At 48.9% G+C, this 24,118-nt stretch overlaps 1 long non-coding RNA gene across 2 annotated transcripts in view, besides 3 other annotated features; it reads left to right on the top strand.

Moving 5' to 3' along the window:
• Positions 3,450–3,949: an enhancer, noted in NCBI's record as "H3K4me1 hESC enhancer chr12:114215183-114215682 (GRCh37/hg19 assembly coordinates)". NCBI's record gives its function as "activates a minimal SCP1, AML or CMV promoter by ChIP-STARR-seq in primed H9 embryonic stem cells {active_cell/tissue: H9 hESC(primed)}" and the evidence as "EXISTENCE:reporter gene assay evidence [ECO:0000049][PMID:30033119]".
• LINC01234 (long intergenic non-protein coding RNA 1234) overlaps positions 7,644–24,118 on the top strand; it is a 29,107-nt gene continuing 12,632 nt past the window's right edge. Inside the window, exons 1-2 of one of the 2 annotated variants that reach the window (NR_110026.1) lie at positions 7,644–7,712; positions 14,119–14,252. This is a non-coding gene — a long non-coding RNA (long intergenic non-protein coding RNA 1234). The remainder of the gene's footprint in view (positions 7,713–14,118; positions 14,253–24,118) is intronic. The other variant, NR_110025.1, reaches the window with a different exon arrangement.
• Positions 8,794–8,963: an enhancer, noted in NCBI's record as "experimental_24661 CRE fragment used in MPRA reporter constructs". NCBI's record gives its function as "activates a minimal promoter by MPRAs in K562 erythroleukemia cells, with activity observed for both the introgressed and non-introgressed 12:114210254 variant alleles {active_cell/tissue: K562}" and the evidence as "EXISTENCE:reporter gene assay evidence [ECO:0000049][PMID:34662402]".
• Positions 11,818–12,329: an enhancer, noted in NCBI's record as "H3K4me1 hESC enhancer chr12:114206803-114207314 (GRCh37/hg19 assembly coordinates)". NCBI's record gives its function as "activates a minimal SCP1, AML or CMV promoter by ChIP-STARR-seq in naive H9 embryonic stem cells {active_cell/tissue: H9 hESC(naive)}" and the evidence as "EXISTENCE:reporter gene assay evidence [ECO:0000049][PMID:30033119]".

The following is a 24,118-nucleotide window of genomic DNA, read 5'->3' as shown; positions in this document are numbered from 1 at the left end:
AGGAAAGTCCTGAAGTCTGAGATAAAAGTGTTTGTAAAATCCTTACCACAATACTATGAGCCCCATAAATGGGAGTTGCTATGAGTCCCATAAATGGGAGCTTCCGAGGTTACTGGCTCCAACTTGGGCTTCTGATGGCCTTGTCTGGAAGATTTGAGCCCAAATGGAAGAAATTGGGTCTAGCAAATCCTGGGAGAAGTTTTGAGGGTAGTTAGCTAAACCCTAGGATCTTCTGCTTTCTAGTAATTCAGGTCCCCTATTTCTCATAAGAGAAAGAGTGGGAAAATACTAATGAAATAGCCCCAAACTTCCCAAGGTGGGGGTGCATATGCAGGGGAAGGAAGGGGTGACCATCCTTTGGGGCTTTAAAGGCTCCTTTTGCTTTAAAAAAAAAATCAAAATCCCCTTCTCCAGCTTCTCTTCATTCTTTTTTTCTTTTCCTTTTCTCTTTATTTTATTTTATTTTATTTTATTTTATTTTATTTTATTTTTGAGAAGGAGTCTCACTCTGTCACCCAGGCTGGAATGCAGTGGCATGATCTCTGCTCACTGCAACCTCTGCCTCCTGGGTTCCGGTGATTCTCCTGCCTCAGCCTCCCCAGTAGCTGTGACTACAGGTGCGCGCCACCACGCCCGGCTAATTTTTATATTTTTAGTAGAGATGCAGTTTCACCATACTGGCCAGGCTGGTCTCGAATTCCTGACCTCGTGATGCGCCCACCTGGGCCTCCCAAAGTGCTGGGATTACAGGCATGAGCCACCACACCTGGCCGCTTCTCTTCATTTCTTTGACTTTGTTACACCCCCTCCTGTCTTAGGGCCTTGGCACCTGCTGTTCTCTTTTCTTGAAATACCCTTCCCTGCCCATTTTACCTAATTGGTGTTTACTCATCCTTCAGATCCCAGCTCTGATGTCCTTTCCTGGGGAAGCCTTTCTCTATAGCCTGACTTTTCCCTCCTTAGACACACTCCTTCGTGCCAGGTTGTTTGTGATCTGGTAACATCATCTCCTCCACTGGGTGATAAACCCCATGAGAACAATGAGTAATGGTGTCTGTTCATTTATCAACTCATTCATTCATTCATTCATTCACTCAACAAATATTTATTGAGGACCTATCATGTGCCAGAATGGATGGTCAGGGAGACCAGGAAGCAGGAAAAAGGGAGATTCTTATAAGAAAATGAATGCAAAAAAAACTGTGACTGGGCAAAGTGAGTGAGGGGGCGAGAGTGAGAGAGGGGAGGAGTGGGAAGAGCTGAGATCAAGGGGGAGGTTGGCTTTAATACAAAAAGTAAAGGGAGACTGTCTCAGTCAGTGAGTGCTACAATAATGCTGCAAAACAAATTACCCCAACATTCCGTGGCTTAAAACAATAAGCATTAAGTATTAGTTCATGAGTCTAGGTGTCATAGTCCTTCTGGCTTTGTCTGGGCCCTGTCATGCTTCTGTGGTCAGCTAGGGGTCACATAGGTGGCTCTGCTGATCTAGGCTGGCCTTTCCCACTTGTTTGAGGGTCAGCTTCCTGGCAGTGGGTTTAGAATGGCACTGCTGGGTGGACTTGGCTCTCACCCATGTGATCACTCATCCTCCAGCCTAGGCTTATTCTCAAAGTGGAAGCAGGGCTACTAGTAAGAGAGCATGGAAGCCACAAGGTCTTGGGATTGTCACAATGTCACTTCTGCAAAATTCTATTTGTCAAACCAAGTCCAGCCCAGGTTCAAGGGGTGGGGAAACTGCCCCACCTCCTCCTCCCATCAAAAAGTGGAGTGTAAGTCACATGTCAAGGGGAGAACATGGAGATGGGGGAGAGCTGGAGCCACAGAAGGCATGGAAGGTTTTAAGCAGGGCAGATACACCACCCACTACGGTTCATACAGATCTCTCTGGCTGCTGTGTGAGGAATGAACTACGGGGTGGCAAAAGGTGGGAAGAGTTGATAGAGGAAAGCCAGTTGGGTCCACCACTGATTTATCCCTAGTGATAACACATGCCAGGGCACAGGTGAGGCTCTCAGTGACTGTTGGACAGATGTACAGGTAGAAGATAATGGGTGGATGTTCTCGGCCACTGGTTGAGCCAGTATTAACTGCAGGGGGACACAACCCCTCAACTTGGCCCATTAGAAGCCCCCTCCCCTTCCCCTAGAGCTGTGATGAGGAGACGGCCTTCTTCCTCCCAAAGTTTAATTAAGTGACCTGCCTCCATGGGGTTGTTAATCCTGTTACCGCTGCCTGGCGCTGACCACAGGGGAAAGCGTGGGGCGGTGTAAACTGTCAGTTGTCTAGAAGGCCTGGTGGGGCACTGAAAGCCACTGGAATCTGGGGAAAGGTAGGGGGTGGGATGGAAGCCGGAGCCCCCATGGGGGCAGGATATCTGCTTTCCAGACGGAACACAAAGGGGCTAAGCTCAGTTTGAATCCCGTCCCAGGAGGAGATGGGGAGGAGGAGGGAGTTTGCTAAGAAGCTTCTGGCTTGGATGGGCTTTGCTTTGACTGCTGCCCATCCGGGTACCACATTCCAGAGCTGAAACCTCAGCTGGCTCACATTCCTGCCTCTTCAGAGACTTATTTCCCCTCAAGGGCAGAGGGAAGAGGTGGGCAGTCCCCAGTCCCAGCCACGCAGTTCTGGACCTAAAGAGATTGGGTTTGGATTCCATATCAACTGTGTCCTGTGTGACTTCGGGCATATTACCTAACATCTCTGAGCCTCCATTTCCTCATCTATGCAATGGGAATGGTAACACCGTCTTTGAGAGTTACTGAGAAGATGCAACTGATACCTAGAGTGGTGCCCTGCATGTAATGGGTGCTTCCTCCTACCGTTATTGTAATTGTCCCTCAGTATCCATGGGGAATTCATTCAAGGACACCCACCCCTCTCCCACCACACACAGAGATATCAAAATCCATGAATGCTCAAGTCCTTGATATAAGGCATATACTATATGGAATAGTATTTTCATGTAACTTACACACATCCTCCTCATACTTTAAATTGTCTCTAGATTACATATAATACCTGATGCAATGTAAACACTCTGTAAATGCTTGTTATACCATATTTTTTGCATTTTTAAAATTGTATATTGGCATTTGTTATTTTTTTTAAATATTCTTTATCCAAGGTTGGGTGAATCCACAGATGTGAAACCATGGATATATGGAGAGCCAACTGTATTTCATTTATCACGTGGAATGGTCGTCTTTTGTCTCTACTAGCCATTCATGGACTCCTTGGGAGCAAAGACTGTGTCCTAGACCTAGGGCCACTCTGGAGGCACCTGCCACCTTGTGACCAGTGACCAGCATCCACAAAGGTCTGCAGAACACAGGCTGAGTCACCTTACCAGGCAGCTCTGCTCACTGCCAGATCCCAGCCTTTGGCCTAGGGCTTGGCAGGTGTTGCCTCCTGTTTTCATGTGTGACTAATTCATTCATTCATTCAATCATTCATTCATTCATTCATCAGTGAATATTTGTTGATGCCATTTCAGTTTCCCCACCTATAAAATGGGGCATGGGGAGGGGACCATTGGATAAAGCAATTCCTTCTTGTCTAACATGTGATGAGAAACTAGCATGTCTCTAACACGAGACTGAGAAACCCCTCCCCCTTTTCCCTGGAAGCAACTCCTGTATCTGTTCCCTGCATGATATTTTTCCCCAAAGGCAGAAATCTTGGCAGTCCCCAGTCACAGGAACTCAGGACACTTGTTGAAGTGAGAGAGTTTCTTAAGAGCAGTTGCTTTTTGGGGCAAAGACCCAGGAACTAAGGTGGGGGTCAGGTAGAGCATAGAGCGGGAGAGGTGGGGACATAAAGTAGTGCCCCAGGCCGGGCGCGGTGGCTCACGCCTGTAATCCCAGCACTTTGGGAGGCCGAGGCGGGTGGATCATGAGGTCAGGAGATCGAGACCATCCTGGCTAACAAGGTGAAACCCCGTCTCTACTAAAAATACAAAAAATTAGCCGGGCGCGGTGGCGGGCGCCTGTAGTCCCAGCTACTCGGGAGGCTGAGGCAGGAGAATGGCGTGAACCCGGGAAGCGGAGCTTGCAGTGAGCCGAGATTGCGCCACTGCAGTCCGCAGTCCGACCTGGGCGACAGAGCGAGACTCCGTCTCAAAAAAATAAATAAATAAATAAATAAATAAATAAATAAAGTAGTGCCCCAAACTCACCCTGGACTCATTACCCTAGCAATCGCCAGCATGTGCCAAGAACTTTCCATTCTCCGTTTGTTGTCCTTACAGTTCATTCTCCCAACAGATGAAAAACAGAGGTCCAGAGAGGTGCACAACATTACACAGCTGGTGTGTAAGGAGGCTAGGCTACCAACCAGATAGTCTAACTTCATCGTGGCCTGTGCTTTTCACCTCTTTGCTCTATGGCTTCTTGACTCAGTTTCCCACCTACCAAGTGGGGCTCTCAGTATCTTCCTTGCAGACCTAGCACAGGTAATGAGAAGAGTTCTCCCTGTGGGAGCTGAGGGCCGTCAGAAAGGCTGAGACCATGATGTCGAGACCATCCAGGCTCCGACGTCAGACTTCCTAGCTCAGGGAGCTGGGGCAACCATTTACCCTCCCTGGACCTCAGTCTTTTCATCTGCCAAATGGGGTGGATTTGTTGAACCTACCTCCTAGGATGGTTGGGAGGGTGACAGAGCTGTGTATGATGTGCCTGGCACAGAGAGAACAGATCAAGGAGGCTCCCCCAGCATCTGGCTTGTAAATGGTCCACATGCGAGCCACCACTGGAGACTCGGGAAGAGGCAAGTCTCCCTGTCACCATCGTGGTCTGAAGAAATGGCAACCCCAAAGCACTCCATAAAACCCAAGCAGTAGTTAAGTTGGACTTCTGAGTGAACAGGAGTAATTAGTGCACTTCCCACAGAGAGTGAAACCCAAATGTCAGCCAATGCCAGGGCCATTAAAGCCATCCCCGGCTACAGCTATTGCCTGCTGCTGGCTGGGTCTCCACCTCCCTGCTGACCTTCTCAAAGGCAGAGGACAGACAGCACAGCAGGGAGCTGCCCAGACCTGCGGACCGGACTCAGAGACAGAAGATGGGCTTTGTGTTTTTCTCAGCTCTGGTACCAACATCTCCTTGAGTCTTATCTTTCTCATCTGTTAAATGGGCTGTATCTGCCTCATAGGATTGTAGGGAGAATTCAGTTTGACCACATGTCTAAAATGTTAGGCAAATGATAGCCCTTCTGGATGATGTAGGTAATACCACAAGGGCAAACAGTGCCCAAGACATAGTAGGTATAGTAGATGCTGCTGGTATCCCACTCAGATCTCTTTACTCATGGACCTGTCCCTCACTGTTCCTCTAGGCTGCCCAGAGAAGGAACCAGAGCTCTGCTAATGGGAGCTGCCATTGAGTAGGAAGTTTTGCCACGTGCAGCCCCTAAGGCGGCCCACAGCCAATGCTGTTTGATACAGGGGTACAAAAAGCCAGCCCTTGGCCTCAGGGATGGGGGCAACTCTGTGTGACCAGTAACACCCCACAGTTCCCTATGGGATCTGACTGAGGCTGGACTCTAGTTACAATCATGTCTGCCCAGATTCTTCTCCTGCTCAGCCCTGCTTCCCTAACCTCTCGTGGGTTTCTCCTGCAAACACAGCCTCCATAAAAGACTTCATGTGAATCCTAAAGCTCTAAGGCTCTTTCTAGAAAGGGAGTCTAATTTAAGATTGCAGGTGTTCAGTAAATGCTTGTTGAATCAACATGTTGCCTGTTATTCAAAAAAACAAACAAAAACAAACAAACAAAAAAAAACAAAAAACAAAACAAGAGTGGAACCAGGTGAGGCAAGAGAGGTGCCGAAGGCCCAAACTTTAAGGAAGGGTCCATTCTTGGAGTCGCGCAAATGCCCAGCCCTGCTGAAAAACCAGAACCCGTTTAAGCATCAATCAATCAAGAACCAGCTATGTAAACCATAGGACATCCTAAGAGAAGAAGGAAGGTCAGAGTTATGACATTGATTCCTGGGGCAGTTGGAGACAGACCTTAGTTCCAATCTTGGCTCCACCATGTAACTGCAACTTTGCACAAGTCACCTCACTTCTCTGAACCTGTTTCCTCACTCTAAAATGTGCATGATAATACTTCCCTCATATGGCTGTTGGAAGATTTGATGAGACTGTGTTAATGTACTTTGCACATAGTAGGTACTCAAGAAAGAGTAGCCACTGTAATGGCCTTTAAAAGCACTTAGAGCAGTTTTCTGAAAGTGCCTTACATGGGATGTCTCCTTCGCATCCCTGCCTTGTGCTCCCATCCCAGTTACCTGCTAGACCTGATGATTCTGATTCTCATGTAGGGCACAGTAGAACACAGCATTAATTTCTAGTGATGGATACATTCCCTCGGCTTACCCATGTGTGGATGAATCCATGTCTAAGGGATCTTCTAATCAGAATTGTGATTAAAATGAGGTGTGCATAAATGCATCCATTCTATGAATTGGCCCAAGCAGCTAAAGGAAAAACGACAACAAACAACATAGATTTACCCTTCCAGAGGTGAGATGACAAAGCTCAGGCTTTGAAGACCCACATCTGGCTGCGTCTGATTCCACCAACCATTACGTAGCCCAAAGCAAGCTGTGTTTTCTTTCTCAGCCTCAGGCTATGTGTCTGCAAAATGGGCGTGATAAAGCTCTAACACTAACACTGACATAATGCTATGTGCCTATGTATTGGGCTAAATTTATTTATTTACACGACCCCTGAAGTGTGTGAGGTTGGTATTAGAATGATCTCCATTTTCCAGATGAGGTAGAGAAACCATCCAGAGAGAGAACTGGCAGTTTCAGAAGTAGGGAGCATCTTAATTTCTAGCAGAAACTGGGATAAACCCGGGGTATGAGATAAAAATGGGAGATTCAACCATAAAAGTTTGGGAAATTAAATGATGCTATGACTCTCTGGGATGCTTGCTGGACAGAGCCCTCATGAGGGCAGGGCAAGTTAAATTATCTTCATAAGCATCCCTGTGTTCAATAAAACCCAAGCTTTCTTTTCTTTTCCTTTTTTTTTTTTTTTAAGACAGAGTCTTTCCCTGTCACCCAGGCTGGAGTGCAATGGCATGATCTTGGCTCACTGCAACCTCTGTCTCCCGGGTTCAAGCGATTCTCATGCCTCAGCCTCCCGAGTAGCTGGGATTACAGGCATGTGCTACCACGCCCAGCTAGTTTTTATATTTTTAGTAGAGACATGGTTCCACCATGTTGGCCAGGCTGGTCTCGAACTCCTAACCTCAAGTGATCCACCTGCCTCAGCCTCCCAAAGTGCTGGGATTGCAGGCGTGAGCCACCACGCCTGGCTGACTTTTCTATTTTGAGTTTTTTGGGGGTCCAGCCATTTTTTTTTTCCTTTCCAGCATTCCCTGTTCCTTGTTCCCATTTTCCTACATGCTCAGTCCATAGAGCTTGGGTGAGGCTGAACCATCTTCCGATACAAGGGTGATCACATGACCCAGCACCCACCAAAGGAGTCCAGCCCCTGGCCTCATTGATTGGTTCCAGGATAGGCAGGTGACCAAGGTTTGGTCAATTAGAACATTTCAGCTCTCTAACTACACTGATTGGCTTTGGGATGGGCACATGACCAAGTTGGTCCAATCGGAGCCAACCCAGGGACATTTTCCTGGAGCGGCTGGGAAAGAGGAGTCTCTCGAAATTCAGCAACTGCTAACAGCGAGGAGGGGGTAAGTAAGAGACTTCCGGGGGCCATCTCGTGGGACTTGAGAAGGAAGCTAACACCCAGGAAGCAGGATCAGGGGAAGGGAAACACACACACAAAGCCCTGATTATCTTGTTTCAGCCTCTGGGTCCAGCTGAGCCCAAAGTCTTCCATCCTGGATTCTTGTTACATGGGACAATAAATTTCCTTTTTTTTGCTTAAGTCAGTGTGAGTTGGGTTTCTACTACAGCAACTTAAAAAGCTCCGTCAGACACAAATGTCTGGCCTGTTTGCATTATTTTTTTTTTCCCAAAAGCAGCTTTCCTCCCATCATCATGTGATGCCATTTTTTTTTTTTTTTTTTTTTGTGGCATGGTCTAGCTTTGTCGCCCAGGCTGGAGTGCAGTGGCACAATCTGGGCTCACTGTAACCTCTGCCTCCCGGGTTCAAGCGATTCTCATGCCTCAGCCTCCCAAGTAGCTGAGACTTCAGGCATGCGCTACCACGCCCAGCTAATTTTTGTATTTTTGGTAGAGACAAGGTTTCACCATGTTGGCCAGGCTGGTCTCGAACTCCTGAGTTCAAGTGATCCACCTGCCTCCGCCTCTCAAAGTGCTGGGATTACAGGTGTGAGCCACTGCACCCGGCCATGTGATGCTATTTCTAAGCACCAGTGTGGAATAGAGTGTCAAAATGTGGCATCAGACTGCTGGGGCCGAGGCAGGCAGATTTGGATCAAATTCCTGCTGCTCCCTCCAGACCTGACGCCCTTGGGCGAGGCCTTTCATCTCTCAAAGTCTCAGTAGCCTCATCTGTAAATTGGGGATATTAATATCTCCCCTCACAGTGCAGATGAAACAGGAAAATGTTTGTTAAACCTTTTCACATGCTGTTCCTTCTGCACAGAATGCTCTTCCTTCTCTTCTTTGCTGACTTAGCATCTATTCATCTTCAGAGTCTCAGCTCAAGAGTCATTTTGTCAGAGCTATCTCCCTAACCTCGTTGGCCAAGGCCCGTTGTTCTGTGAAATTGTCCCATCCTCTGGAGCTTTCATTAAAGAATCAATGTGTCATTCTAGGCATGACTATGTGATTAATGTCCACCTCCCCCACTAGAATGTAAGTTCCAGGGGGACAGGGAAGTGTCAGTTTCTGCTCACCACTATGTCTCCAGTACCCTGCACAGAACAGACCTTTGAGAAATGGTCAATGCATTAACTGCTATTGCACTAGACTCTAATCAGAAGTTTTAGGAGGTTGGGTGCTCAGGCCTGTAATCCCAGTGATTTGGGAGGCCATGGCAGGATTGCTTGGGCCCAGGAGGGTGAGACCAACCTGGGCAACATAGCGAGGCCCCCATCTCTACAAAAAAATTTTTTAAAATTAGCTGGGTGTGGTGGTGCGTCCCTGTAGTCCTAGCTACTTGAGAAGCTGAGGTAGGAAGATGGCTAGAGCCCAGGAGTTAGAGGCTGCAGTGAGCTAGGATCCTGTCACTGCACTCCAGCCTGGGTGACAGAGCAAGACCTTGTCTCCAAAGATAAAAACTAAAAATTGAAAAAAAAAAGTTTTAGGTAAGTAGTGTTTCTTTGGACTCAGCCTACATAGAAGTGAGCATCTGAAATTACTAGGATGCTATGATTCCAGCAAGTGTCCACGTGGGTTCATTCGACCCAAAACCAATGGAGATGAGCATTGGTCTCTATATGACTAGCCTGAGCCATGCAGATGGCAGGTCTTCATCCATCAGCCAATGGACAGTCACTGTTCCCTTAGGTCCAGGAAGGCAGGAACAGTGGCACACAGAAGGACAACTGGCCTTCAAAGAACCCATAGAAGAGATGAGCTTAAAAGGAATGAGATGAAGGCTGGGTGTGGTGGGTCATACTTGTAATCCCAGTGACTCAGGAGGCCTAGACAGGAGGATTGTTTGAGGCCGGGAGTTTGAGACCAGCCTGGGTAACATAGTGAGACCCCTGTCTCTATAAAAAAAAAAAAATTAAAAACTAGCCAGGACTGGTTAATTAGCTTACATCTGTCGTCATAGCTACTCAGGAGGCTGAGGCCCAGGAGTTCAAGACTGCAGTAAGCCATGATCATGCCACTGTACTCCAGCCTAGAGTCCAGGTTATATACTAGGTTAACAAAGAAGATGCTAATTTTAACAAGGAAAAGCATTCTGTGCAGAAGGAACAGCATGTGCAAAGGTTTAACACATATTTTCATGTTGCATCTGCACTGAGGGGGAATATTAATATCCCCATTTTATTCATGAGGCTACTGAGCATTTGAGATATGAAAGGCACTCCAGCCTTTTATTCTTTTCTTGAGACAGGAAAAGAATAAAATAAAATAAGGATATTGTGGGCTCTGGAGAAGACCTACCTGGGTTTGTAACTCAGCCCTGTCACTGACTAGCTGTGTGGCTTTGGACAGCCTTGATCCATCTGGAAGACTTGCTTTCCTCGTCAATAAAACGGAGATGTCATCCCTGTGTTGCGAGGAGACAGACGGCTGGGTCCAAGTCTCTGCTCCTCCATTCGCGTTGTGTGAACACGGCTCACTGGTTTACCATTTAGAGCCTCAGTTTCCTTGACTGTAGGATGAGGGAGCAACAGAATCTAATTCTTAGAGAGGTTGGAACGATGAGGCCAGTTAATGAATTAAGTGCCAGCCACCAAGCCTGAACTTAATAGATACTCAATGTATGTGGCCACTGATATTCTTCTACTACTCCTATATTAGTATTATTAGTAGTAATATTAATATAATGAATGAGCTGGCTTATGCCAAGCACCCAACACTGCCTGGGGCATGATCGGGCCCTTTCTCTTCTCCTGATGTGTGTCCTGGCTCTGGCCACTGGCTGACCCACCCCAATTAGGTGACTCTCATGTTAATATTGACACACAAAGGAACCAGCTGGCGACCTCTGAACTCATCCCACTTGGGATCACAGGCTGATTTTGGCCCCAGCCCTCAACTTTGAGAGCCGGACTCGTAATCTCCTTTGACACCAAAAAGAGTTGGCCTCACCCCGACCTTTGCTCCCTGCTTCACTGATTTCCGGTGTTTACTGGGCCTGATGGGCGTCACATTGCCCACAGCATGGATGTGGCCTGGAGGGAGCGGAGGGAGGCCTGGATGGACCAGTGCTTGGGGAAGGAGTAGGGAGGGACAGGGCAAGTGGAGGCCTTTGGCTCAAGAAAACACACCTGCGACCGGGTGCAGTGGCTCATGCCTTTAATCCCAGCACTTTGGGAGGCCTTGGGGGGAGGTTCCCTTGAGGCCAGTTCAAGATTAGCCAGGGCAATGCAGCAAAATCCTGTCTCTCAAAAAAAAAAAAAACAAAAAAAATTAATTAGCTTGGCATGGCAGTGCACAACTATAGTTCCAGCTACTCAAAAGTGAAAGGTAGGAGGATGGCTTGAGGCCAAGAGTTCAAGACCAGCCTGGGCAACGAGCAAGACCCCAATTTCTACAAAAATAAAATAATTAGCCAAGTGTGGTGGCACAAACCTATAGTCCTAGCTACTTGGGAGGCTGAGGTGGGAGGATCACTGAGTCCAGGAATTCAAGGTTACAGTGAGCTATGATGGCACCACTGCACTCCAGCCTGGGCGGCAGAGTGAGACTTTGTTTCTATATAAACAGATAAATCAAGCTCACCTGTAGAGGATGTATCCGTGGGGACAGATTGCCAGACAGGGAGCCCCATTAGGAGGACAACAGTCTACAAGGAGATGGTAGTGAGTGCATCTGAGTGTGTTGGCGAGAAACGGAGCCGGCAGGAAAGTCACCGGGAAAGTGGAATGTACAGGGCCCCAACCATTAGCCTGAGGGGTGTAGGGAGGAGATTCTCTAGGGAGGAGGTCTCTTCTCAAATGTACTCAACACAGGGTTTTGTCCCCTGTTGCTCTGGGCTTACAAGGAAGGAATACAGATGCCTCGCTCAGTGCTCCCCGACCCCCTGCCACCGCCGTGGGTGGTCTGCATGAGAAATGGCCCTTGTGCCTCTTCCCCAACACCAGCACCAGCCCTGTGCCTCGACCCCAAAACCAGCCTCAGCCCTACCTACCCCAACACTGAGCCCGGGAAACAGACCCAGAACCGGGTGATGCCTGAGAGGAGTTACCATGGCAACAGATGTGCCGGCACAGACAGGGAGTTTTGCTGACCATCCCCAGCCCGCTGGCCACCCCTATAGAGGGGTGCATGAACCATAAACTGTCCTTGCAGCTGGCCCTGGGGACTTGGCACTGGACATCCCTCCAAAGGAGAGGTCTCCTACAGACTAGTCACTAGACACAGAGCTCCAGGCCAACCTCCTGTTGGAGCTCTCTGGCTCTTCCAGCTTTCTCTACATGACACCTTTGATTACAGCCCCTCTGGAAGACCGTCTGCTTTCATTTTCTCCTCGGGGCTGTCTCCCCCCTGCACTGTTGATGGAAGATGAGCTTCTAAGCCTCCTTTCTGTGATGGGCGTGGAGCTCACAGGTGCGGTGGGGGAGGATGAAGGAAGGGTCGAAAGAACTGAGGTTAGGGGTGAGGCCTCTGGAGCCAGACCTGCCTGAATTTGACTCCGGCTCTGTCACTCACTGGCTGTGTGGCCTTGGGCCAGTTACTTAATGTCTCTGAGCCTCCTTTCATCATCTGCAAACTGGTAGTGATTACAGTAGCACTCACCTTATTAGGTTGTGGTGAGGATTAAATGAGATAATACATGATAAATCTTAGGACAGGGCCTGGCAGAATATAAACACTTAATGTCCATAACCTCTTCCCTTCACTAAAATCACCCCATTCCTAGGAAGAGAGGAACACATTTTTGGCCATGAGAATTCACAGGGTTAAGTAAAAGTGTAAAAGAGTGAACAAGTGAGAATTGAGAGTTTTGGGAATTAGAAAGAAGGGTGCTTTCTTTTTTTCTTTCTTTTTTTTGAGACAGAGTTTCGCTCTTGTTGCCCAGGCTGGAGTGCGATGGCGCCATCTTGGCTCACTGCAACCTCCGCCTCCCAGGTTAAAGCGATTCTCCTGCCTCAGCCTCTCAAGTAGTTGAGATTACAGGCGCCTGCCACCACGCCCGGCTAATTTTTTGTATTTTTAGTAAAGACGGGGTTCCACCATGTTGGCCAGGCTGGTCTCAAACTCCTGACCTCAGACCATCCGCCCGCCTCAGCCTCCCAAAGTGCTGGGATTACAGGCGTGAGCCACTATGCCCAGCTGAAGGGTGCTTTCTTAATATACTCTGCACTAGACAGTAAGTTTTCAGGGAGCAGAAAGCAAAGTAAAAGTCTGTCTGATTTTCCCCAATCCTTCCAACACCTGACACAGGGCTAGGCACAAAGTTTTATTTCCACAGTCTGAAAATGCCATCCGTTATAAGAGGCAGCATCCATTTAATTAGAGTATTTCTCTTTCTTTTTCTTTTTTAAGATGGAGTCTCGCTCTGCCACCCAGGCTGGAGTGCAGTGGTGTGATTTCAGCTCACTGCAACTTCCACCTCCCAAGTTCAAGCGATTCTTGTGCCTTGGCCTCTTGGGTAGCTGAGACTATAGGCACGCAGCACCATGCCTGGCTAATTTTTATATTATTAGTAGAGACAGGGTTTTGCCATGTTGGCCAGGTTGGTCTCGAACTCCTGACCTCAAGTGATTTGCCTGCCTCAGCCTTCCAAAGTGCCGGAGCAAATGAAAATGGGCATTATATATGTACTAGATCCCAGTTTCAAAATGTTAAAAAGAAAAAAAGTTCATCTTAAAGCTGGAGAAATAAAATCATAGGTCATTAATAAATGGTAATCGACTATGTGAATGGGTGGTTGCAGGAAATGACAATACAGTAGAATGTAGTTAAATACTCACTATGCTCACTATACTCACCAATACTGGAAGAGTTAGAAAAGGTATCCACCATAACAAGCAGAGTGCATCTGGGAAGACTTCCTGGAAGAGGCAGCCTATGAGTGGGAATAAGCAAAAACTAAGTTATCTGACTTGGGGAGAGCAAGAAATGGTGGTTGGGCATAAGGGGTAGAGTCTTGATAAACTAGGAGGCTGTGTGACCACCATCATCCCCCTCCTTAGGTAATGGAGAATGTCAGAATTATCCAGGAAGGTGACTTCTACGTCAGCTCAGAGAAGCCAGGACCAGATCAGACATGAGTCCCAGGGCATGGGCCTGCACCAGGCTAGGCCCACAGGGGGCTTAAGGCACTGGTGGCAAAGCAGCCTGGGTTCAAATCCCAGCTGCTCCTTAGCTGGGCAACTCTGAACTGGTTACTTGGCTTCTCTGGGCATCAGATCCCTCCTCACCCAGGAAGTAGGGCAGATGACAGGGCTCTGAGGTCAGGCATGTGCAGAATCTGGTGTATGGAAGGTGCTTCATAAATATTAAATTTAGAATAGGATGTGATTTCTTTCTTTTTTTGAAAAGTTTTGAAAGGTAAAGGCCATTAGCTTGGAGGCAGAAGACAGACCTCCCTGACTGCTGAATTCCTGCCGGCCTGAAATTGGAGCATTCCAAGCTCCTCAGATGAGTCATAAGCCACCAAGATTGTGAGCCTCTGGGTGAGTATGAGTAGAATTAGATACTTCCTTTGTGGGGCTCAGTGCAAAATGCAAATGAGAGGTCGGCGCTAAATACGAGAATGTGCCCATCAAGCTGCTTCTGTGGCCTCGCGCCTCGCAGCAGTCACAGAGCCTTCAGCTGGAATCCTGGCAAACACTGTGGGCCCTCCCATGGTCTGGGATGTGCTTAATCCGAACACAGCCCTGTGGAGTAGGTGCTATTGTTATCCTCATATTACAGATGGGGAAACTGAGGCACAGAGGGAGGGACCACCAGCTGAGCCGCCAAAGGACAGGCAGCTGGTGGCATGGCTTTTAAAAGGGAACCTGTGCCCCCGGATCTGGAGACATCTTAGCCCACTAGCCCCTTCTTTTAGGGTGAAATACGCATTCTGCGAAATGGAGGCAGCTTGTAATGGGGGTGAAGCCAAATGCGAGAGGCCCGGGCAGCCGGATTTTCAATCCCAGTTCCCAGGGCACCTCCTTCCCACCGTACCCCGCTTCCTCCAGCAGGGAGCCCCCTCCCTCCAGCAGAACAGGGTCTGGCCTAGCCAACTTGCTACCGGGGCCGGGGGCCAAGAGTTAACGTCGGAAGGGAGCTCGAGAGAGTGTGAGAGCTAAAGGACATGTCAAATCAATCATATTTAAACAAAAGCCTCTCCCGCCCAAGGGCCCTTTTAAAAGCTGCTTATTTAATTAAAAGTCCCATTTTCCATATTTATGGCCCTTATTCAGTTAAATATTAACCGCTGGGGCCAGGGCTAGTGTGTGCTTTGTGAGCGGTGTGCGGGGAGGTTCATTACCGCGGCCGGGATTTACCAGACGGTGGCACGGCCGCGGCGGATCAATGCGGCCTGCCCTGGACAAACATGCTGGGGGCGGCCGCGGGGGCCGGGTGGGGCGGCGGGGCCCGAGGGCGCCTCCTCACTCTCCGGCTGGGACTCAGCGACTCGGGGACGCCTTGTCTCTCTCCCTGTCTCTCGCTTCCACATGCTGTCCCTGGGGCTGAGTCGTAGGCCTGGAGTCAGAGACAGAGAGACAGTGAGACCCAGAGAGAGATATAGAGAGGCCCAGAGAGAGATAGCGAGAGACCCAGAGACAGTGAGAGACCCAGAAAGAGACAGAGAGACAGTGAGACCCAGAGAGAGAGAGAGAGATACAGAGAGCCAGTGAGAGATCCAGAGAGACAATGAGACCCTGAGAGAGGCCCAGAGGTAGATACAGAGAGATAGTGAGAGACCCAGAGAGAGACCCAAAGACAGTAAGAGACCTAGAGAGATAGTGAGAGACACCAAGAGATACAGAAAGACAGTGAGAGACCCAGAGAGACAGAGACAGGGAGACACCCAGAGAGAGACACAGAGACAGTGAGAGACACAGAGAGAGACATCGACAGTGAGAGACAGAGACAGAGACTGAGAGATCCAAAGAGACACTGAGAGACCCAGCGAGACAGAGATAGAGAGACACCCAGAGAGAGACACAGAGACAGTGAGAGACACAGAGAGATCTAGAGACACTCCCAGTGAGACACAGAGACAGAGACTCAGAGAGACAGAGACAGGGAGACACCCAGAGAGAGACACAGAGACAGTGAGAGACACAAAGAAAGACACAGAAAGTGAGAGATACAGAGAAACAGAGACTGAGAGACCCAGAAAGACAGTGAGAGACCCAGCGAGACAGAGACAGGAAGACACCAGAGAGAGACACAGAGACAGTGAGAGACACAGAGAGATCTAGAGACACTCCCAGGGAGACAGAGACAGTGAGAAACCAGAGAGTCAGTGAGAGACAGCGGGTCGTGTTTCTCCGTGTCTGGCTGTGTCTAGGTTGAGACCAGGTCCATACTTCTTAAAATCCAACGAGAAATTAAAATGTTAAAAAATTAATAAGAATTTCCTGTGCGTGGCTGCACAGGTGGCACACTCTGGGCCCTGGCAGCCTCTCTCTCTTACTATGTGTGCTGGGGTGGGGCTGCAGAGGTACCAGGCATGGGGTTAGAGGGGTGGAAGGCCCATAAGAGCCCACGCGCTGCTCTTCCAGGCCCCATTCACTGGAGAGATGGGCAAAAAGAAAAACAGGGAAAGGGGGGAATCTGGCATGTATTAAGGATTTGACCTCACTCAGCTGCAGGGACAGGGGCAGAAAGAAAACAGCCACAGAAGAGGCCTAGATCCAAGCAGAGGCGCTCCCGGCTGCAAAACACGCATCACACGCAGAGCTTTATCCAGGGCTTCCCTGCACCAGGCACCAGTGCTGGCCAGTGTTAACTTACGTCATCCTCACTTCCATCCTACATAGGTCGTACGCTTTTGATCCGCATTTTACAGATGGGAAAACTGAGGTTCCAGACAAGCAGGGAGTGATCCTAGGGTCACTCAACCAGGGAGGGGCAGACCCAGGCTGTCTGCTCCTCATCACACAGTAGAAATCACCAGAGTTGCTCAGACCCAGCTGGGCACCATCCTTGCCGTTTACAAGTTCCTGACCCTACCTGAGCCTCAGTTTCCTCATCTGTGAAATAGGGGAATAAGATTTTTGGGGACATTTTGAATCACGTTTTATGGTTGCTCCATCCCAGGCCCTCCACCCCACACTGCTGCTCCTGACCACTGCAATTGATCCCTGAACTCGCTGATGTGACTCTCGGGGTGTCAGGGACAAAGCCAAATGCACTTCCCAGTCTTCTGAGTACTCAAGGGGGCAGGGCTTTCTCTGTCCCTCACTGCAGGAAGCAGTGTGGTGAATGGAAAAGGTGCACTGTAGAACCACAGACAATCCCACCTTTGCCATTTACTGGTTCTGCAAACTTAGGCTGCCTCACATCACCACTCAGAGCCTCAGTTTCTCCAGCTGCAAAATGGGAATAATGATAGACCCTCCTCCTAGTTGTTCTGAGGATTCAATGACATAATTCTTGTAATGGCTTAGCAGTGTGTGGCACGCAGTGAGCATCATTGCCAGCCCTATAAAAGCCTGCAGGGGCTGCACAAATGCTGCCAGCCTGTGCCTCCAAGGTGCCATCTCTGAGGGGCAGTGGGGCTCCATCAGTTCCAGCCCTGAGACCCGGCCAGTCTCCTGAGTGGCCTGGCAGAGGGAAACTTCTGCTCCAGTGCCACCTCTGGCCCTCCTGTGACCTTGGACCTGGAACATGCCACTGCCCCTCCTGGGGCCTCAGCTTACCCATCTGTGGAATGAGGGGATCATTGGGTTTAGAGAAATCTCTCTGGGCTATTGCAGGGATAATGCATCTCCGCAGCAGACAGGGTGAAGAATTTAACCTAAATGTGAAAATATCATTGAAATGTGCCCATTTATGCACAGGAAGGACTGTGCGACAACCAGGGCAAGCGCATGGCTCCTGAGAGCTGTCTGTTAGGTGCCAACAGCCAGGTTGGGAAAGACATCTCCTATATCACACACATGCATGCACACACATGGTCATAGGCACATGCACACAAAAAACACATGCATGTATGCACACATGCACACATGGGTATGGACACACATGAACACACACGCATGTACACAATGCACATAGGGCATGGGCACACTCATGCATGCATATGAATGCATGCATGGGCACTGGCCTGCGCACACACATACATGCATACACATGCATGGGCACACATGCATACACGGGCATGAGTGCACATTCACATGAGCACATATACACACATACATGCTCTTGCATGCATATACTCAGGCACATGCACACACACAGACATGCACACACACGGACATGCACACACACGTGCACACACACGGACGTGAAGACACACACACATGCACACATGCACAAGGGCATACACCTCATCACATCTTTTGCCCCATGCTCTGCTTCTCCATGTGGATCCTGTTAAGAGCCTGGTGCCTGATTTCTCCCACCACTACCTCCTCCCCAAAAAGAAAAAAAATCTGAAAAGCCAGATTAGAACTTCACATACGCATCGCTGGAAAAAATCTATGTCTCATTTTCATATCTAGCAAAATAAAATGACAGCAGAGCACTCCAGCAAACCCCTAGAGGGGGGAGCGTGTCTGCCGAAGATGAGGGGTGGTGGCGGGGAAGACACCTTTCCCAAAGGGAGGAGGCCCCGGGGCCAGAGGCACAGGAGGGGACCTTGGGCCTGGCGAGAGGCTGGAGGATGAAATCGATCAGGCCATTTTGTCCTGGGGCTGGAGGAAGGCTGGGGGGTCCTGGGAAGAGTCTAGGGGGTTGAATGGAGGTTAGAAAGGCAGCGAGAGGGGGAGAGAAAGAGGAGGAATAAAATCCTGGGGATGGTGGTGTGAGTGAGGGAGCGGGAGAGAGAGAGGGAGAGACACCAGGTTATCAGAGAAGTGTGAAGACAATAATGCAATCTGACATTTCTGAAACAAGACCCCCCGGTTGCCATGGCAACGTCTCATGTGGGAGCAGCTCCCAGGAGACGGCTCCGAGATGTACTATAAATGATGTTTGATTAGAATTTAAATCATTTAGGCAGAGAGAAGATAGGCCTTTTGTCAGCAAGGGGACCTGGGGGTGGGGAGGGAGGGGGGCCGGGGTTGTGGCGGGGGAGGGGGCACCGCTGGAGCCAGCATGGGCGTGGGGAGCGGGATCGGAGGTCAGCCAGGGGGTTGATTACTTTTGCCCTCAGCTTCATTTCCGTTTACAGTAACCTTTCCATGGTGGCCAGAGGGACTCAGAGGGCAGGAGAGGAGAGACCTGGGGGGGATGGGGGTGTGGGAAGGGAGTAAGGGAGAGCAGCAGAGCTGAAGGGAGAGATGCGGAGAGACAGAGAGGAACGGACAGAGCAGAGAGACACAAGCGGGAGAGAGAAGCAGGAAGAGAGAGAAGGAGAGGGAAAGGAGAGGAAGAGAGACAGACACAGACGGGCAGAAACGATGAGAGAGACGGAAAGAAGAGAGACCAGGAAATGGACTGAGAGACACAGATAGACGGTACAGAGACAGAGAGAGACTGAGAGACACAAAGGGGGAGACCTGGAGTGAAAACATGGACTCTTGTGTCCACACACCCGGAATCATTTTCCAGCCTCTGAAAAATGCATCAGGAATGTGGGTGCCCATGCTGAGTCCTGAACTTAGAAAAACTCTGCCTCCACCTCCCACTTTGGTCCCCATCCACAGGGAGATTCCTTGGCCCTGGAGTTCCTGGGGAAGGGTTAGTGACCCTGGAAAAGAGGCACCATGGGCTTCTGGTCCTAAGGAAAATGGGCCAATTTTACTGAGCTGCCATGTAAAATCTTAGACAAACCACCTCTCTGTTCTGAGCCTCAGTTTCCCCATCTGTAACACAAAAAGTGTTATAGATGGAGAGTCAGATCAGCCTATGGGCAATGAGCCCCCGTTCCCCATTCAGTTTTTATTTTTAGTTGCATTAATTGCCAGCATTTAAAAGTTGGGAGCGTTTGCAAAAAATGTTTAATTTCTGGGTTCTCAAAAAAATAGGAAAATCTATGCATGCTGGGCCTGTATTTCCACATGGCAGCCATGTGCTGGAAAGGAGGAGTAGTCCCCATGTTTAAGCAGAGTATGAGGGCTCCAGTTTACCACAGTTTCCACCATTCCCTATTGTCTTACACCCAGCTACTTTTCACACCTTCATGGTGACTGCCTGCCCTCTGTAGGAATTTGTGGGTTTTTGTTTGTTTGTTTTTTGGAGACAGAGTCCCACTTTGTCACACAGGCTGGAGTATGGTGGCGTAATCATAGCTCACTGCAGCCTCGACCTCCCTCCTGGGCTTAAGTGATCCTCCCACCTCAGCCTCCTGAGTATCTGGAACTATAGGAATGTACCATCACACCCGACTAATTTTTGTATTTTTTGTAGAGATGGGGTGTCAGCATGTTGCCCAAGCCAGTCTCCAACTCCTGGGCTTAAGTGATCCTCCTGCCTCAGCCTTCCAAAGTGCTGGTGAACTTTCAAACTCTGCAAATAAACTCCAGGATCCTTATGGCTCTAGCAATCTATTAACATATGGATTGTAGACCTCATACCTCAGTCACCATGGTTTTGGGTGCCCAGGATAATAGAGTTCATGGGGGTAATCACAGAGTCAGAGCGAACTATATGGCCATCCTCATACACACTGTCAGAGCTCAATAAATGTTTAATTAATTAATTAATACAGGAAGATGAGCCAAAATGATTAGGGAGACTGAAATGAGAACCATGATGGGAAATGGGTAGCTTTTTGAGAAAATGGACTTGTACCACTGGGCACTGAGGATAAAAGTGACCTGCTTGGGAGAAGCCCAGAAAGCAGATGGGAGGGAGTTTGTAAGGAGGAAAAGAGCTGCTTTCAAAGAGGCCATCTTGAAGTTCTCTATCTTGGCACCTTCCTCATGCCCACCAGGACACTTGTCACAACCTGGAAGTTTGTTGTTTGTGTATTGGCCTGTGTGTGGTCTCTCCTCCCCGAGGAGACTGTGAACTCCATGAGGATAGAAACTATATCTGGCAGAGTCAGTGCCGTAGCCCCAGCACCCAGCATATAGTAGCTGCTTAGGAAACTCTGGATGAATAAATGAGGGAATGAGTCCCCTTTTCACATACTTCTCCCATTTTTGCTCTGAGTATTTTAAAGCTATCCGAGCCCCGTCCTCATACTTTATTATTATTGTTATTATTATTATTAAGACAAGGTCTCGCTTTGTTGCCCAGGCTGCAGTGCAGTGGCGTGATTATGGCTCACTGCAGCCTCGGCCTCCCAGGCTCAAGCAATCCTTCCACCTCAACCTCCTGAGTAGCTGGGACTACAGACGTGCACCACCACGCCTGGCTAATTTTTTATTTTATTTTTTGTAAAGGTGGGGTCTCATCATGTTGCCCAGGCTGGTCTCAAACTCCTGAGCTCAAGGGAGCCTCTCGCCTCCGCCTCCCCAAAGTGCCGGGATTACAGACGTGAGCTACTGCGCCCGGCCCCTCATGCTGTATCATTAAATGCAAGCAGCTTGCTTTTATGTTTTGTTCATTTAAGGGAGCACTTCCCTTACTAGGAGTGGCAATGATATGACCCTAGGCTAGTAAGAGGCACTTAATGTCTCTGAACTTCAATTTCTTCACCTTCAAAGTAGGGCTAATACCTTCATTCTGAGAATGTTCTAAAATTTAGGCAACAGGTCTATAACAGTGTCTGGCATGGAACAGGTGCTCAATAAGTAGAAGCAATTTTCATGGTTGTAGACACTAGTAATCTACTAGCATGTGGTAGTCATATAAGTAATAAGAAGACCCAAGGGAAGAGGCAAATCTTGGGGTGATGTGGACATAGGGTGGAGATAGGGAAGAATTTGGAATCCCTTTAGTAACATTTCTCTTAGGCAGAGCTGTGTTCCCAAGAGTATTTTCCTTTCTCAATTTTAGGATTTTGAAGCTTTGCTATTGAGGAGGATGGTGGATTCATCCTCCACCGTCACTATCTTACAGTTCTGGAGGTCAAAAGCCTGACATGGGACTCGCTGTGCTAAAAATCAAGAACTGCACCCTTAGAGGCTTAGGGGAGAATTGTTTCCTTGCCTTTTCCAGCTTCTAGAAGCTGCCCTTAATCCTTGGCTCATGGCCCCTTCCTTCATCTTCAACCGATAATGGCCATGGAACCTCTTGACCCTTCCAACTCCAATCACACCGGTAATGCCTGCCTGGAGCACTATGTGAGGAATGATGTTGCAGCCATGTCTGGACTTATGGAGCAAGAATGCTGTAATTGATTAGTGATGTCTGCCATGGGCAGGGATGGAGTTACTCAGTTGCACAGTGCTTGGCACAAAGGAACTGCTTGTGGCAGCTGCCTCTGGTTACCCATGTCATGGTGTTCCTTTGGCCCAACTCTAATTAAGTTGCAGCTGCAGTGGGCCATTCTGTGCAAGCAAACTGAGATTCACCATGGTGACAGCACACAGCCTCCAGCATGAGCTGTGTGTCTTTCCTCTTTTGGTCTTAGGCCCTGTTGGATGTGATGGGAGTCCACTCAACCATACACAATGCAGCCTGGACATGGAGGGTTATGACTTGTATTACTTTCCTATAGCGACTGTATCAAATTGCCACACACTGGGTGGCTTGAAGCAATACCCCTTCACTATCTTACAGTTCTGGAGGTCAAAAGCCTGACATGGGATTCGCTGTGCTAAAAATCAAGAACTGCACCCTTAGAGGCTTAGGGGAGAATTGTTTCCTTGCCTTTTCCAGCTTCTAGAAGCTGCCCTTAATCCTTGGCTCATGGTCCCTTCCTTTATCTTCAAAGCAAGCAGTGTTTTGGGCTGAGTCTTTCTCTCATTGCCATCTCTGCTTGTCCCTCTGTCATCCCCTCCCTTCCACTTATCAGAGCTCTTGTGGTTACACGGGGCCCACCAGATAGCCCAGCATGGTCTTCCTGTTTTAAGGTCCGCTGGTTAGCAACCTTCATTTCATCTGCTCCCTTAATACCCTTTGCCATGTAACCGAACATTTCACATGCTCTGGAGATTAGGAAATGGGTAGCTTTAGAGGTCATCATTCTGCCTACCACATCGCCCCTGGGGTCAGCCCCTCGTGACAGTGAAGGACAGTGGATGCTGTTGCAGTCTTCTGGTCTTCAGTAGACAATTCTGGAAAGCATTCTCTACACCCCTCAACAGGTTCCAGAGAGATTGAGTCTTTGTTATCTGTAATGGCACTTTTACATTGACGTTCCTCCTTCCCTGACTTACTCTCCCTCATCCCTCACTCCTGCTTCCAGAGATCACTGGTCAAATAAGTTATCTGCACCCAAGTCCTTGTCTCAAGCTCTGCTTTCAGGAGAACCCAAACTAAAACAGTTCTGGCCAGGTGCAGTGGCTCACACCTGTAGTCCCAACACTTTGGGAAGCCAAGGTGGGTGGATCACTTGAGGTTAGGAGTTCAAGACCAGCCTGGCCAATATGGTGAAACCCCATCTCTACTAAAAAGACAAAAAAGCTGGGCATGGTGGTGGGCGCCTGTAATCTCAGCTAAGGAGACTGAGGCAGGAGAATCACTTGAACCTGGGAGGCAGAAGTTGCAGTGAGCCGAGACCACACCACTGCACTCCAGTCTGGGTGACGGAGTGGAACTCTGTCTCAAAAACATAAAATAAAATAAACAGGTCTTCATAAACGTTGGCTATTACATTGGTCAAGCTGGATGTGATAGACACCTGGCACAAAGTGGCTTAAGCAAAAAGCAATTTATGTTCTCATTGACTGAAAAGTTAATGGTTATATCTAGGACTTCAGGCACAGCTGGATCCAGGTCCTCAAACAATGGCCTCAAGAGTTTGTCTTTTTTGAAATCTCACTTGTACTTTCCTCTGTGTTGGCTTCAGCCTCAGGCACCCTCTCCCCATACATTGGCAACGATGGTCGCCAGCTGCTCAGCCATTGACCACAACAAAAATGAGAGTGACTTTTACCCGATAGTGCCAGGAAAGACACAGGAATCCTTGTTCCTCAGTTCTGATTGGCTCATCTTGGGGCACATGCCCGTGCCTGGACCAGTCACTATGGGAGAGGGGATGTGGCACTGTCGTTGGCCTTGGGTCACCTGCCTCTCCCACAAGTTGGGGGTGGAGTCAGCTACATCAAGGCCACCTGGCCTGAGAGGGAGCAAGCTGCGGTTCCCCTAAAAGAACTGGAGTGCTTCTCACATAACAAGGAGTCAAGTACGAGTCACAGACGTCCTCTACAAGTGAGATCATCGTGTACTGTTAATTTTAGGTAAATCTCTCGCAAGGATGGGAGACAAGATGCCGCCCAGCAGGTGGAGGCCTGGAGCTGGGAGGAGGGGAAGCTAGGCGTTGTGCCAGTCATCAGTGCCAACCGGTCCTGGCTGCAGGGAATTCTTGGGATCAGAAATCTAC

Source organism: Homo sapiens, chromosome 12, assembly GCF_000001405.40.
Source record: "Homo sapiens chromosome 12, GRCh38.p14 Primary Assembly".
NCBI lineage: Eukaryota > Metazoa > Chordata > Mammalia > Primates > Hominidae > Homo > Homo sapiens.
The sequence above is the reverse complement of the archived record's forward strand: the minus strand, read 5'-3'. Positions and strand labels throughout refer to the sequence as shown.